This window comes from Homo sapiens, chromosome 8 (assembly GCF_000001405.40).
Source record: "Homo sapiens chromosome 8, GRCh38.p14 Primary Assembly".
Classification (NCBI taxonomy): domain Eukaryota; kingdom Metazoa; phylum Chordata; class Mammalia; order Primates; family Hominidae; genus Homo; species Homo sapiens.
This window is the reverse complement of record NC_000008.11, coordinates 61,474,792-61,490,268: the sequence shown is the minus strand read 5'-3', so window position 1 is coordinate 61,490,268 and position 15,477 is coordinate 61,474,792. Positions and strand designations below refer to the sequence as shown.

Below are 15,477 nucleotides of genomic sequence, written 5' to 3'. Positions count from 1 at the left end.
TCACTGCAACCTCTGCCTCTCAGGTTCAAAGCATCAAAGCATTCTCCTGCCTCAACCAACCGAGTAGCTGGGACTACAGGAGTGCACCACCACATCCAGGTAATTTTTTATTTTTAGTAGAGATGGGGTTTCACCATGTTGGCCAGGCTAGTCTTGAACTCCCGATCTCAAGTGATCCACCCACCTTGGCCTCCCAAAGTGCTGGGATTACAGGTGTGAGCCACTGTGCCCAGCCTGACTTCCATAAATTTCTAAACGTTAAATTGAGAGCTGCCACGTGCTACTTAATAGCCATTTGCCTGTGTCCTTGTTAAAAACGTTTTAGTTTCTTTAAAGTATTGTATTGCTACAAGTAGTCTGCCCTCAGGTTGCAATTTCCTGCTGCAGAGAGTAGCTCCTACCAAGCTCTTTTAAGTCTGAATTGTAATCACCAAGCATATTCCAGATGTGCACCACAATTCTAAGCAGCACTCAGTAACCCTTGTTTGACATATCGAAATCAGTCTGATACCATTTTGGAAAAGATGATTTCAATATACACTTTATTTGGATGTTTTAAGAAATATCTACAGGAGTGTTTCGTATCTCCACAGCTGTTCTTCATCATCATCATCAACAACCATTTGTTGAACACTTACTACATGCCAGGTTCTGCACTAAGTATTTCGTCGCATTATCTTTATTTAATCTTCACGACAATCTTCATCTGTCATGGTTGTAGTGTAAAAAATAAAAACAAATCAATCAATCAATAAATAAATCTTCACAATAATCTAAGCTGGGTATTGTTAATTCCATTTTGCAAATCAGGAAACTGAGCCTCCAAGAAGGTAATGAATATGTGCAAGATTCCACAGTAAGTTGTGGAACTAGAACGGGAACCCAGATCTGATTCTACAGTCCACATTCTTAAGCACTATCTCTTGTGCTATACTGTACAAAAAATACCTATAACTTGGTAAGAAACCAAAGGGCATAAACATGCATATTCACATTAGTAAATGTTAATATTGAAGTTCTCATAGAACCATTTCTCTCATTGATGTTAATGAATCCAATAGTTTACATTAATCAGCTGTTAATTTATAAAATGTTTGTTTTAGGCGCAGCAAATGAAATAAAAAATAGATCATTATTGAGAAAAAAGTTTTCTAAGAATGTATAGGTTATAGAATCGTACTTTATCCCTAATCACCAGCAGGGTATTATTTAATAATACTTCAAGATCCTGTCTTCTAAATGTACTGCATTCACCCAAATATCTGGCAGCATCTATAAAGAACTGCAATCCATCAACACTGAACATTGATGAGAGTAGAGAAAGGGAGTGGATTAGACTTAACTGAGAACACAGTTCAGCTGCCAGAAGACACACCCATCCTGGAACTTGCAGATGGGGAGGAAGGAATGGGAGAAGGGAGCCAGGGAAGGCCACCGTGGAAACTGGCAGCCGCAGCTGGACACTCTGCTTAATTTACCTACAAAAGGGCTTATTGCTCTTTATGAAACTATGCATTCCTGCCATATTAGCTAACTCATCTCAGTTTTTCATCTGTAAAATGAGGATAAATGATTGCCATATTCTCCACAGGGCCATGAAAGATAAAAGATACAATAAAGTGCTTGGAGCTCTTTGAAGGAGAAATTATTTAAATTAGAAGTGTTTATCATTTTACAACACTTCCTAGAGTATCATATTTCTGAGCATAAACTATTGATACTCTGCCATATCTGATAACAGAGATAGCCATATTTACCCACTTGAAGAAAATCAAGGAAAATACAAAAGACTGAGAAAATAGATATGGAGCAGTGGATTATTTATATTATAAAGTTATTCTTAATTTTACTGAGCAATTCAACAAAAAAATTCCGTTAAACAGAGTCACCCTCATAGCTTGAAGTGTGAGAGCATTCAAGGTCATAACTAGCTTGCGTTGTGCCCAAATCCTTTACAGGAACCCCAGGTATCAGCATGAGATGTATAGAAGCCTTAGAGTTTCAAAATTCTATGCGTATAGGTTTATTGACTTTTGAGGAGTGGAATGCGCTACTACATACGTTTTTGGTGTGGGTTCAGGTGTTCTGAGATGGTCAGAAGGAGTGTTAAATCCATGCATTTCAATCACGTGGATATTTCTGGAAGCTTTTTTACTACTACCAATCATAACAGAAAATGACTACAGGTGCTTACACCACCCGCTTTGAACAGTCATCTTCCATTAGAATTAGACTGGCACAAAGAGCTGCCAGTCAGTTTCACAGCATCCCTAATTATCATACTCCCTCTAAAGCTGGGGTGCACATGCTCAGTGCAGTTACTTTGGTAGAACAAACTGTGGTGTTCTGAAGCAGGTAGAAAAATGCCAGAAGTTGGCAATGGCTGACGAAATGTTGATGACTCATTCCCTCTGCAGGATGAGTTTGAAAAGGATGGCTAGTGTTACCGGTAAAAAGTAGGTTTCATAATTATGTTTTTTTAGTCAAATGACAGTATATTAGTGGATCTTCTTTGGCATTGCCAGATTAGCCTAAATATAAATTTTCTTCTTGTATATCTGTATCCTCCCCACTAGGGATGGGGTTTGGGGAACAGTGCAGTGCACGAAAATTGTGATGGAGGAATTTGCTTTTCAACTGTCTTAAAGACAGGATGGAATTTGGGCTGCCACGAATGAGAACATACATCCAAAATAGTAGTTTAAGCAAAAGTGAATCCCCAAAAAAGATACTCTATAAACCACTGAAGAATGAATGAGTGAATACACAAATAGTGTGAGAACACGATGTAGGAGACAGCATTTTACTTAGAATAAAAATAACTGAATTTAAAATATTTTGCCACCTACTAGCTCTGTGATCTGAGGTAAGTTATTTAACTGCTCTGTGCCTCAGCCACTTCATCTATAAAATGTGGATAATAACCTATCTATTCTTATCTAGTTTAAATATATTTTTTAAATCTATATTTTTTATTTAAATTCTCAAAACTTGAATGGCTCAGTTTTCAAGAACCCCCAGAACAAGTCCAGGGAACATCCATATTGCAGTCTGAAATGTGGGAAACGACTACACTCTAGGGCCTTGCCACTCATACTGTGGTCCCTGGGCCCTCAGCAGGGGCAGAGCCTGGGAGCTGGTTAGAAATGCAGATTCTCAGACCCAGCCCAGATCTACTAAATCAGAATCTGTATTTTAACAAGATCTCGGTGCTTTGTATGCTCATTAAAATTTTCAAAGCTTTGCTCTAGAGCTAGCAACAACTCACACATAGGTAGGAAACACTCCAAGTGAATTGGAATAGTATCTTAATCAAATCAACAAATATTTCTCAATCCCTTATTAGCACCAGGCATTAGTTTAGGTGCTGGGCCACAGGACTGCACTAATCAGATAAGCCTCAGCATACACAGTTGGTGGGGGCTGATAGAGACAATGAACACATAGGCAAACAGGAAATTTTGGAAAGGGTAAGTGCAAATGAATCAGGGTGGCAGGGAAAGGGGTGATGATACTTTAGTGAGGATGTACCTCCACCAAGAGGAGTCTCCAGCAATGTGATGCACCTGTAGCAGGACCAGTTATTCCTCCTCATTCTTTCACCTGGAGCAAGAATTCAACGCTTCCTTTCTGCTATTGATCCACACTTACCTCCTCAACTCCTCCATTTTCAACACTACACTTCATTATTCAACTGCAAAGATGTATTCTATCCACAGTTTAAGGTACGTGAAGGATTATTGAGATTCAGTTTGAATCATTGTTTTACATTGGTTCAAATTAAAGGTTAATTTCAAAATAACGTAAAAGTCAGATTTTACAGTAATACCTCCAGGTCAGTAGCCTGAACTATGATTTTAGTCAAACACCAAAGACTAACTAGATGAGTTCTTGTAAGAATAGTTCTACTAACATTGTCCCTCTTTGCCCATTAATTCCTTCATTTATTCTTCATTAATAGAATCCGTACTGGACATTTATTTTTGGCCTGACTCTGAGCAAGGCATGAGAAAAAAAACTAAGCAAAAAGCAAACATGCCACCTGTCCCATTGAGTACCTCTTTCAAAGCTGAGCTCCTTGTCTGTGTTCTTGTTCCCATTCCCTCTGACCCCACTGGAGGCATCACTCTCCCATTTATTTTATTTATTTATTTATTTATTTATTTATTTTAATTATACTTTAAGTTGTAGGGTACATGTGCACAACGTGCAGGTTAGTTACATATGTATACATGTGCCATGTTGGTATGCAGCACCCATTAACTCGTCATTTACATTAGGTATAACTCCTAATGCTATCCCTCCCCACTGCCCCCACCCCACGAAAGGCCCCAGTGTGTGATGTTCCCCACCACCCATGTCCAAGTGTTCTCATTGTTTAATTCCCACCTATGAGTGAGAACATGTGGTGTTTGGTTTTCTGTCCTTGCAATAGTTTGCTCAGAATGATGGTTTCTAGCTTCATCCATGTTCCTACAAAGGACATGAACTCATCATTTTTTATGGCTGCATAGTATTCCATGGTGTATATGTGCCACATTTTCTTAATCCAATCTATCATTGGTGGACATTTGGATTGGTTCTAAGTCTTTGCTATTGTGAATAGTGCTGCAATAAACATACGTGTGCATGTGTCTTTATAGCAGTATGATTTATAATCCTTTGGGTATATTCCCAGTAATGGGATGGCTGGGTCAAATGGTATTTCCAGTTCTAGATCATCAAAGAATCGCCACACTGCCTTCCACAATGGTTGAACTAGTTCACAGTCCCACCAACAGTGTAAAAGCATTCCTATTTCTCCACATCCTTTCTAGCACCTGTTGTTTCCTGACTTTTTAATGATCGCCATTCTAACTGGTGTGAGATGGTATCTCATTGTGGTTTTGATTTGCATTTCTCTGATGGCCAGTGATGATGAGCATTTTTTCATGTGTCTGTTGACTGCATAAATGTCTTCTTTTGAGAAGTGTCTGTTCATATCCTTTGTCCACTTTTTGATGGGGTTGTTTGTTTTTTTCTTGTAAATTTGTTTGAGTTCATTGTAGATTCTGGATATTAGCCTTTTGTCAGATGAGTAGGTTGCGAAAATTTTCTCCCATTTTGTGGGTTGCCTGTTCACTCTGATGGTAGTTTCTTTTGCTGTGCAGAAGCTCTTTAGTTTAATTAGATACCATTTGTCAATTTTGGCTTTTGTTGCCATTGCTTTTGGTGTTTTAGTCAAGAAGTCCTTGCCCATGCCTATGTCCTGAATGGTAATGCCTAGGTTTTCTTCTAGGGTTTTTATGGTTTTAGGTCTACCATTTAAGTCTTTAATCCATCTTGAATTAATTTTTGTATAAGGTGTAAGGAAGGGATCCAGTTTCAGCTTTCTACATATGGCTAGCCAGTTTTCCCAGCACCATTTATTAAATAGGGAATCCTTTCCCCATTGCTTGTTTTTGTCAGGTTTGTCAAAGATCAGGTGGTTGTAGATGTGTGGTATTATTTCCAAGGGCTCTGTTCTGTTCCATTGGTCTATATCTCTGTTTTGGTACCAGTACCATGCTGTTTTGGTTACTGTAGCCTTGTAGTATAGTTTGAAGTCAGGTAGCGTGATGCCTCCAGCTTTGTTCTTTTGGGTTAGGATTGTCTTGGCAATGTGGTCTCTTTTTTGGTTCCATATGAACTTTAAAGTAGTTTTTTCCAATTCTGTGAAGAAAGTCATTGGTAGCTTGATGGGGATGGCGTTGAATCTGTAAATTACCTTGGGCAGTATGGCCATTTTCATGATATTGATTCTTCCTACCCATGAGCATGGAATGTTCCTCCATTTGTTTGTATCCTCTTTTATTTCATTGAGCAGTGGTTTGTAGTTCTCCTTGAATAAGTCCTTCACATCCCTTGTAAGTTGGATTCCTAGGTATTTTATTCTCTTTGAAGCAATTGTGAATGGGAGTTCACTCATGATTTGGCTCTCTGTTTGTCTGTTATTGGTGTACAGGAATGCTTGTGATTTTTGCATGTTGATTTTGTATCCTGAGACTTTGCTGAAGTTGCTTATCAACTTAAGGAGATTTAGGGCTGAGATGATGGGGTTTTCTAAATATAAAATCATGTCATGTGCAAACAGGAACAATTTGACTTCCTCTTTTCCTAATTTAATACCCTATATTTCTTTCTCTTGCCTGATTGCTCTGGCCAGAACTTCCAACAGTAGGTTGAATAGGAGTGGTGAGAGAGGGCATCCCTGTCTTGTGCCAGTTTTCAAAGGGAATGCTTCCAGTTCTTGTCCATTCAGTATGATATTGGCTGTGGGTTTTTCATAAATAGCTCATATTTTGAGATACTCCCATCAATACCTAATTTATTGAGAGTTTTCAGCATGAAGGTTGTTGAATTTTGTCGGAGCCTTTTCTGCATCTATTGAGATAATCATGTGGTTTTTGTCTTTGGTTCTGTTTATATGATGGATTACGTTTATTGATTTGCATATGTTGAACCAGCCTTGCATCCCAGGGATGAAGCACACTTGATCATGGTGGATAAGCTCTTTGATGTGCTGCTGCATTCAGTTTGCCAGTATTTTATTGAGGATTTTTGCATCAATGTTCATCAAGGATATTGGTCTAAAATTCTCTTTTTTTGTTGTGTCTCTGCCAGGCTTTGGTATCAGGATGATGTTGGCTTCATAAAATGTGTTAGGGAGAGGAAATATTCCCTCTGTTTCTATTGATTGGAATAGTTTCAGAAGGAGTGGTACCAGCTCCTCTTTGTACCTCTGGTAGAATTCAGCTGTGAATCCGTCTGGTCCTGGACTTTTTTTGGTTGGTAGGCTATTAATTATTGCATCAATTTCAGAACCTATTATTGGTGTATTCAGGGATTCAACTTCTTCCTGGTTTAGCCTCAGGAGGGTGTATGTGTCCAGAAATTTATCCATTTCTTCTAGATTTTCTAGTTTAATTGTGTAGAGGTGTTTATAGTATTCTCTGATGGTAATTTGTATTTCTGTGGGATTGGTGGTGATATCCTTTTTGTCATTTTTTATTGCATCTATTTGATTCTTCTCTCTTTTCTTCTTTATTAGTCTTGCTAGTGGTCTATCAATTTTGTTGATCTTTTCAAAAAACCAGCTCCTGGATTCATTGATTTTTTGAAGGATCTTTTGTGTCTCTATCGCCTTCAGTTCTGCTCTGATCTTAGTTATTTCTTGCCTTCTGCTAGCTTTTGAATGTGTTTGCTCTTGCTTCTCTAGTTCTTTTAATTGTGATGTTAGGATGTCAATTTTAGATCTTTCCTGCTTTCTCTTGTGGGCATTTAGTGCTATAAATTTCCCTCTACACACTGCTTTAAATGTGTCCCAGAGATTCTGGTATGTTGTGTCTTTGTTCTCATTGGTTTCAAAGAACATCTTTATTTCTGCCTTCATTTCGTTATATACCCAGTAGTCATTTAGGAGCAGGTTCCTCAGTTTCCATGTAATTGAGTGGCTTTGAGTGAGTTTCTTAATCCTGAGTTCTAGGTTGATTGCACTGTGGTCTGAGAGACAGTTTGTTATAATTTCTAGATTTGGTCTTTTCACATAGTCCCATACCTCTTGGAGGCTTTGTTCATTTCTTTTTATTCTTTCTTCTCTAAATTTCTCTTCTCACTTCATTTCATTCATTTGATCTTCAATCACTAATACCCTTTCTTCCAGTTGATCAAATCAGCTACTGAAGCTTGTGCATGTGTCGTGTAGTTCTTGTGCCATGGTTTTCAGCTCCATTAGGTCATTTAAGGACTTCTCTACACTGTTTATTCTAGTTAGCCATTCGTCTAATCTTTTTTCAAGGTTTTTAGCTTCTTTGCAATGGGTTCGAACATCCTCCTTTAGCTCGGAGAAGTTTGTTATTATGGATTATCTGAAGCCTTCTTCTCTCAACTCATCAAAGTCATTCTCCATCCAGCTTTGTTCCATTGCTGGTGAGGAGCTGCATTCCTTTGGAGGAGAAGAGGCACTCTGATTTTTAGAATTTTCCTCTTTTCTGCTCTGGTTTCTCCCTATCTTTGTGGTTTTACCTACCTTTGGTCTTTGATGTTGGTGACGTACAGATGGGGTTTTGGTGTGGATGTCCTTTCTGTTTGTTAGTTTTCCTTCTAACAGTCAGGACCCTCAGCTGCAGATCTGTTGGAGTTTGCTGGAGGTCCACTCCAGACCCTGTTTGTCTGGGTATTACCAGTGGAGGCTGCACAATAGCAAATATTGCAGAACAGCAGATGTTGCTGCCTGATCCTTCCTCTGGAAGCTTCGTCTCAGAGGGGCACCTAGCTGTATGAGGTGTCAGTCGGCCCCTACTGGGAGATGTCTCCCAGTTAGACTACTCAGGGGTCAGGGACCCACTTGAGGAGGCAGACTGTCCACTCTCAGATCTCCAACTCCATGCTGGGAGAACCACTCCTCTCTTCAAAGCTGTCAGACAGGGACATTTAAGTCTGCAGAAGTTTCTGCTGCATTTTATTCAGCTATACCCTGCCCCCAGAGGTGGAATCTACAGAGGGAGGCAGGCTTCCTTGAGCTGCGGTGGGCTCCACCCAGTTAGAGCTTCCCAGCCTCTTTGTTTACCTACTCAAGCCTCAGCAATGACAGACGCCCCTCTCCCAGCCTCGCTGCCACCTTGCAGTTTGATCTCAGACTGCTGTGCTAGCAGTGAGTGAGGCTCTGTGGGTGTGGGACCCTCCAAGCCAGGCATGGAATATAATCTCCTGGTGTGCCATTTGCTAAGGCCGTTGGAAAAGCGTAGTATTAGGGTAGGAGTTTCCAGATTTTCCAGGTACGATCTGTCACGTCTTCCCTTTGCTGGGAAAGGGAATCCTCTGACCCCTTGCGCTTCCTGGGTGAGGTGATGCCCCACTCTATTCTGTGGGCTGCACCCACTGTCTGACAAGCCCCAGTGAGATGAACCTAGTACTTCAGTTGGAAATGCAGAAATCACCCATCTTCTGCGTCGCTCACACTGGGAGCTGCAGACTGGAGCTGCTCATATTTAGCCATCTTGGAACCTCCCCCTATTTTATTTTTTATACACCAAATTGCAGAGCTAGGGCTCAGGGAGATGGACAGCTGCACATTTTCCATTAGCTCATATTAGTCAGTAACTGGTAATGTGTCTACCTCCTTACTCAGCCCTCACAGGTCAACAACACCTATGTCCCCTTATGTGTGAAGCCTGTCCTAGTTTCCTTTCCTTTCCTCTAAACCAAGAATGCATAATCAGGCACTTCAGTCTTTCTCTTGGCCATACACTGAGCTCCTTTAATCAAATCCCAGCTCTGGATGACTCCAACAATATTCCTCTTCCATGTCAGCTTCAGAGCAGCTGAGAAGTGCGGATCACACTACCCAAGAATAGAGAGGTCACTGTAAACTCATTATTACCCCTCCTACCAACACTTAAAACAGCATTCCACGTTCAATGTTTCCCCCAAGGCAATTTCAAGCCCATGCACGTCTGTATCATCTTACCTAAAAACCCTTCTGTACCCTAGTCTAATCTCACTCTTAAGACTTGCCCTGAGGGTGGAGCCAAGATGGATGAATAGGAACAGCTCCAGTCTACAGCTCCCAGCAGAAGCGACGCAGAAGATGGGTGATTTCTGCATTACCAACTGAGGTACCGGGTTCATCTCACTGGGGAGTGCCGGACAGTGGGTGCAGGACAGTGGGTGCAGCACACCATGCATGAGCCAAAGCAGGGTGAGGCATCACCTCACCTGGGAAGTGCAAGGGGTCAAGGAATTCCCTTTCCTAGTCAAAGAAAGGGGTGACAGACGGCACCAGGAAAATCAGGTCACTCCCACCCTAATACTGCGCTTTTCCAATGGGCTTAACAAACGGCACACCAAGAGATTATATCCTGCACCTGGCTCGGAGCATCCTACGCCCACGGAGCCTTGCTCATTGCTAGCACAGCAGTCTGAGATCAAACTGCAAGGCGGCAGCGAGGCTGGGGGAGGGGTGCCTGCCATTAACAAGGCTTGAGTAGGTAAACAAAGCAGCCGGGAAGCTCGAACTGGGTGGAGCCCACCACAGCTCAAGGAGGCCTGCCTGCCTCTGTAGGCTCCACCTCTGGGGGCAGGGCACAGACAAACAAAAGGCAGCAATAACCTCTGCAGACTCAAATGTCCCCGTCTGACAGCTTTGAAGAGAGTAGTGGTTCTCCCAGCACACAGCTTGAGATCTGAGAACGGGCAGACTGCCTCCTCAAATGGGTCCCTGACCCCTGAGTAGCCTAACGGGGAGGCACCCTCCAGTAGGGGAGGACTGACACGTCACACGGCCGGGTACTCCTCTGAGACAAAACTTCCAGGGGAATGATCAGGCAGCAGCATTTGCGGTTCACCAATATCCGCTGTTCTGCAGCCACCGCTGCTGATACCCAGGCAAACAGGGTCTGGAGTGGACTTCCAGCAAACTCCAACAGACCTGCAGCTGAGGGTCCTGACTGTTAGAAGGAAAACTAACAAACAGAAAGGACATCCACACCAAAAACCTATCTGTACATCACCGACATCAAAAACCAAAGGTAGATAAAACCACAAAGATGGGGAAAAAACAGAGCAGAAAAACCGGAAACTCTAAAAATCACAGCACCTCTCCTCCTCCAAAGGAATGCAGCTCCTCACCAGCAACGGAACAAAGCTGGATGGAGAATGACTTTGACGAGTTGAGAGAAGAAGGCTTCAGAAGATCAACTACTCCGAGCTAAAGGAGGAAGTTAGAACCAATGGCAAAGAAGTTAAAAACCTTGAAAAAAAAATTAGACGAATGGCTAACTAGAATGACCTATGCAGAGAAGTCCTTAAAGGACCTGATGGAGCTGAAAACCAAGGCACGAGAACTATGTGATGAATGCACAAGCCTCAGTAGCTGATGCGATCAACTGGAAGAAAGGGTATCAGCGATGAAAAATGAAATGAATGAAATGAAGCAAGAAGAGAAGTTTAGAGAAAAAAGAATAAAAAAAGAAATGAACAAAGCCTCCAAGAAGTATGGGACTATGTGAAAAGACCAAATCTACATCTGATTGGTGTACCTGAAAGTGATGGAGAGAATGGAACCAAGTTGGAAAACACTCTTCAGAATATTATCCAGGAGAACTTCTGCAATATAGCGAGGCAGGCCAACGTTCAAATTCAGGAAATAGAGAGAATGCCACAAAGATACTCCACGAGAAGAGCAACTCAAAGACACATAATTGTCAGATTCACCAAAGTTGAAATGAAGGAAAAAATGTTAAGGGCAGCCAGAGAGAAAGGTTGGGTTACCCACAAAGGGAAGCCCATCAGACTAACAGCGGATCTCTTGGCAGAAACTATACAAGCCAGAAGAGAGTGGGGGCCAATATTCAACATTCTTAAAGGAAAGAATTTTCAACCCAGAATTTCAATGACAGGATCAAATTCACACATAACAATATTAACCTTAAATGTAAATGGGCTAAATGCTCCAATTAAAAGACACAGACTGGCAAATTGGATAAAGAGTCAAGACCTATCAGTGTGCTGTATTTAGGAGACCCATCTCACATGCAGAGACAAACATAGGCTCAAAATAAAGGGCTGGAGGAAGATCTACTAAGCAAATGGAAAACAAAAAAAGGCAGGGGTTGCAATCCTAGTCTCTGATAAAACAGACTTTAAACCAACAAAGATCAAAAGAGACATAGAAGGCCATTACATAATGGTAAAGGGATCAATTCAACAAGAAGAACTAACTATCCTAAATATATATGTACCCAATACAGGAGCACCCAGATTCATAAAGCAAGTCCTTAGAGACCTACAAAGAGACTTAGACTCCCACACAATAATAATGGGAGACTTCAACACCCCACTGTCAACATTAGACAGATCATCAAGACAGAAAGTTAACAAGGATATCCAGGAATTGAACTCAGCTCTGAACCAAGTGGACCTAATAGACATCTACAGAACTCTCCACCCCAAATCAACAGAATATACATTCTTCTCAGCACCACACCACACCTATTCCAAAATTGACCACATAGTTGGAAGTACAGCACTCCTCAGCAAATGTAAAAGAACAGAAATTATAACAAACTGTCTCTCAGACCACAGTGCAATCAAACTAGAACTCAGGATTAAGAAACTCACTCAAAACCGCTCAACTACATGGAAACTGAAAAACCTGCTCCTGAATGACTGCAGGGTACATAACGAAATGAAGGCAGAAGTAAAGATGTTCTTTGAAACCAGTGAGAACAAAGACATAACACACCAGAATCTCATTCAAAGCAGTGTGTAGAGGGACACATTCAAAGCAGTGTGTAGAGGGAAATTTATAGCACTAAATGCCCACAAAAGAAAGCAGAAAAGATCTAAAATTGACACCCTAACATCACAATTAAAAGAACTAGAGAAGCAAGAGCTAACACATTCAAAAGCTAGCAGAAGGCAAGAAATAACTAAGATCAGAGCAGAAATGAAGGACATAGAGACACAAAAAACCCTTCAAAAAATCAATGAATCCAGGAGCTGGTTTTTTGAAAAGATCGACAAAATTGATAGACCACTAGCAAGACTAATAAAGAAGAAAAGAGAGAAGAATCAAATAGACACAATAAAAAATGACAAAGGGGATATCACCACTGATCCCACAGAAATACAAACTACCATCAGAGAATACTATAAACACCTCTATGCAAATAAACTAGAAAATCTAGAAGAAATGGATAAATTTCTGGACACATACACCCTCCCAAGACTAAACCAGGAAGAAGTTGAATCTCTGTATAGACCAATAACAGGCTCTGAATTGAGGCAATAATTAATAGCATAGCAACCAAAAGAAGTCCAGGACCAGATGGATTCACAGGTCAATTCTACCAGAGGTACAAGGAGGAGCTGGTACCATTCCTTCTGAAACTATTCCAATCAATAGGAAAAGAAGGAATCCTCCCTAACTCATTTTATGAAGCCAACATCATCCTGATACCAAAGCCTGGCAGAGACACAACAAAAAAAAAGAGAATTTTAGACCAATATCCTTGATGAACATCGTTGCAAAAGTCCTCAATAAAATACTGGAAAACCGAATCCAGCAGCACATCAAAAAGCTTATCCACCATGATCAAGTGTGCTTCATCCGTGGGATGCAAGGCTGGTTCAACATACAAAAATCAATAAACGTAATCCATCATATAAACAGAACCAAAGACAAAAACCACATGATTATCTCAATAGATGCAGAAAAGGCCTTTGATAAAATTCAACAACCTTCATGCTAGAAACTCTCAATAAATTAGGTATTGATGGGATGTATCTCAAAATAATAAGAGCTATCTATGACACACCCACAGCCAATATCATACTCAATGGACAAAAACTGGAAGCATTCCCTTTGAAAACTGGCACAAGACAGGGATGCCGTCTCCCACCACTCCTATTCAACATAGTGTTGGAGGTTCTGGCCAGGGCAATCAGGCAGGAGAAGAAAATAAAGGGTATTCAATTAGGAAAAGAAGAAGTCAAATTGTCCCTGTTTGAAGATGACATGATTGTATATCTAGAAAACCCCATCGTCTCAGCCCAAAATCTCCTTAAGTTGATAAGCAACTTCAGCAAAGTCTCAGGATACAAAGTCAATGTGCAAAAATCACAAGCATTCTTATATACCAATAATAGACAAACAGAGAGCCAAATCATGAGTGAACTCCCATTCACAATTGCTTCAAAGAGAATAAAATACCTAGGAATCCAACTTACAAGGGATGTGAAGGACTTATTCAAGGAGAACTACAAACCACTGCTCAATGAAATAAAAGAGGATACAAACAAATGGAAGAACATTCCATGCTCATGGGTAGGAAGAATCAATATCATGAAAATGGCCATACTGCCCAAGGTAATTTACAGATTCAACGCCATCCCCATCAAGCTACCAATGACTTTCTTCACAGAATTGGAAAAAACTACTTTAAAGTTCATATGGAACCCAAAAAGAGCCCACATTGCCAAGTCAATCCTAAGCCAAAAGAACAAAGTTGGAGGCATCACGCTACCTGACTTCAAACTATGCTACAAGGCTACAGTAACCAAATCAGCATGGTCCTGGTACCAAAACAGAGATATAGATCAATGGAACAGAACAGAGCCCTCAGAAATAATGTCACATATCTACAACTATCTGATCTTTGACAAACCTGAGAAAAACAAGCAATGGGGAAAAGATTCCCTATTTAATAAATGGTGCTGGGAAAACTGGCTAGCCATATGTAGAAAGCTGAAACTGGATCCCTTCCTTACACCTTATACAAAAATTAATTCAAGATGGATTAAAGACTTAAATGGTAGACCTAAAACCATAAAAACCCTAGAAGAAAACCTAGGCAATACTATTCAGGACATACACATGGGCAAGGACTTCTTGACTAAAACACCAAAAGCAATGGCAACAAAAGACAAAATTGACAAATGGTATCTAATTAAACTAAAGAGCTTCTGCACAGCAAAAGAAACTACCATCAGAGTGAACAGGCAACCTACAGAATGGGAGAAAAGTTTTGCAACCTACTCATCTGACAAAGGGCTAATATCCAGAATCTACAATGAACTCAAACAAATTTACAAGAAAAAAACAAACAACCCCATCAAAAAGTGGACAAAGGATATGAACAGACACTTCTCAAAAGAAGACATTTATGCAGCCAAAAAACACATGAAAAAATGCTCATCATCACTGACTGTCAGAGAAATGTAAATCAAAACCACAATGAGATACCATCTCACACCAGTTAGAATGGCGATCATTAAAAAGTCAGGAAACAACAGGTGCTGGAGAGGGTGTGGAGAAATAGGAAGACTTTTACACTGTTGGTGGGACTCTAAACTAGTTCAACCATTGTGGAAGCTGGTGTGGCGATTCCTCAGGGATCTAGAACTAGAAATACCATTTGACCCAGCCATCCCATTACTGGGTATATACCCAAAGTATATAAATCATGCTGCTATAAAGACACATGCACACGCATGTTTATTGCGGCACTATTCACAATAGCAAAGACTTGGAACCAACCCAAATGTCCAGCAATGATAGACTGGATTAAGAAAATGTGGCACATATACACCATGGAATACTATGCAGCCATAAAAAATGATGAGTTCATGTCCTTTGTAGGGACATGGATGAAGCTGGAAACCATCATTCTCAGCAAAGTATCACAAGGACAAAAAACCAAACCCTGCATGTTCTCACTCATAGGTGGGAATTGAACAATGAGAACACATGGACACAGGAAGGGGAACATCACACACTGGGGCCTGTTGTGGGGTGAGGGCAGTGGGGAGGGATAGCATTAGGAGATATACCTAATGCTAAATGACGAGTTAACGGGTGCAGCACACCAACATGGCACATGTATACATATGTAACAAACCTGCACGTTGTGCATATGTACAATAAAACTTAAAGTATATATATAAAAAAAAAGACTT

The 15,477-nt window shown here is 40.7% G+C and overlaps 1 protein-coding gene across 4 annotated transcripts in view, besides 1 other annotated feature; it reads right to left on the bottom strand.

Annotated features, from left to right (window-relative positions):
* Window positions 1–15,477, bottom strand: part of CLVS1 (clavesin 1) — a 536,782-nt gene that overhangs the window by 11,361 nt on the left and 509,944 nt on the right. The window lies entirely within an intron of this gene.
* Window positions 9,824–10,017: a silencer, noted in NCBI's record as "fragment chr8:62392811-62393004 (GRCh37/hg19 assembly coordinates)". NCBI's record gives its function as "represses an EF-1alpha promoter that drives an FKBP-Casp9 reporter gene in an ReSE screen in HepG2 liver carcinoma cells {active_cell/tissue: HepG2}" and the evidence as "EXISTENCE:reporter gene assay evidence [ECO:0000049][PMID:32094911]".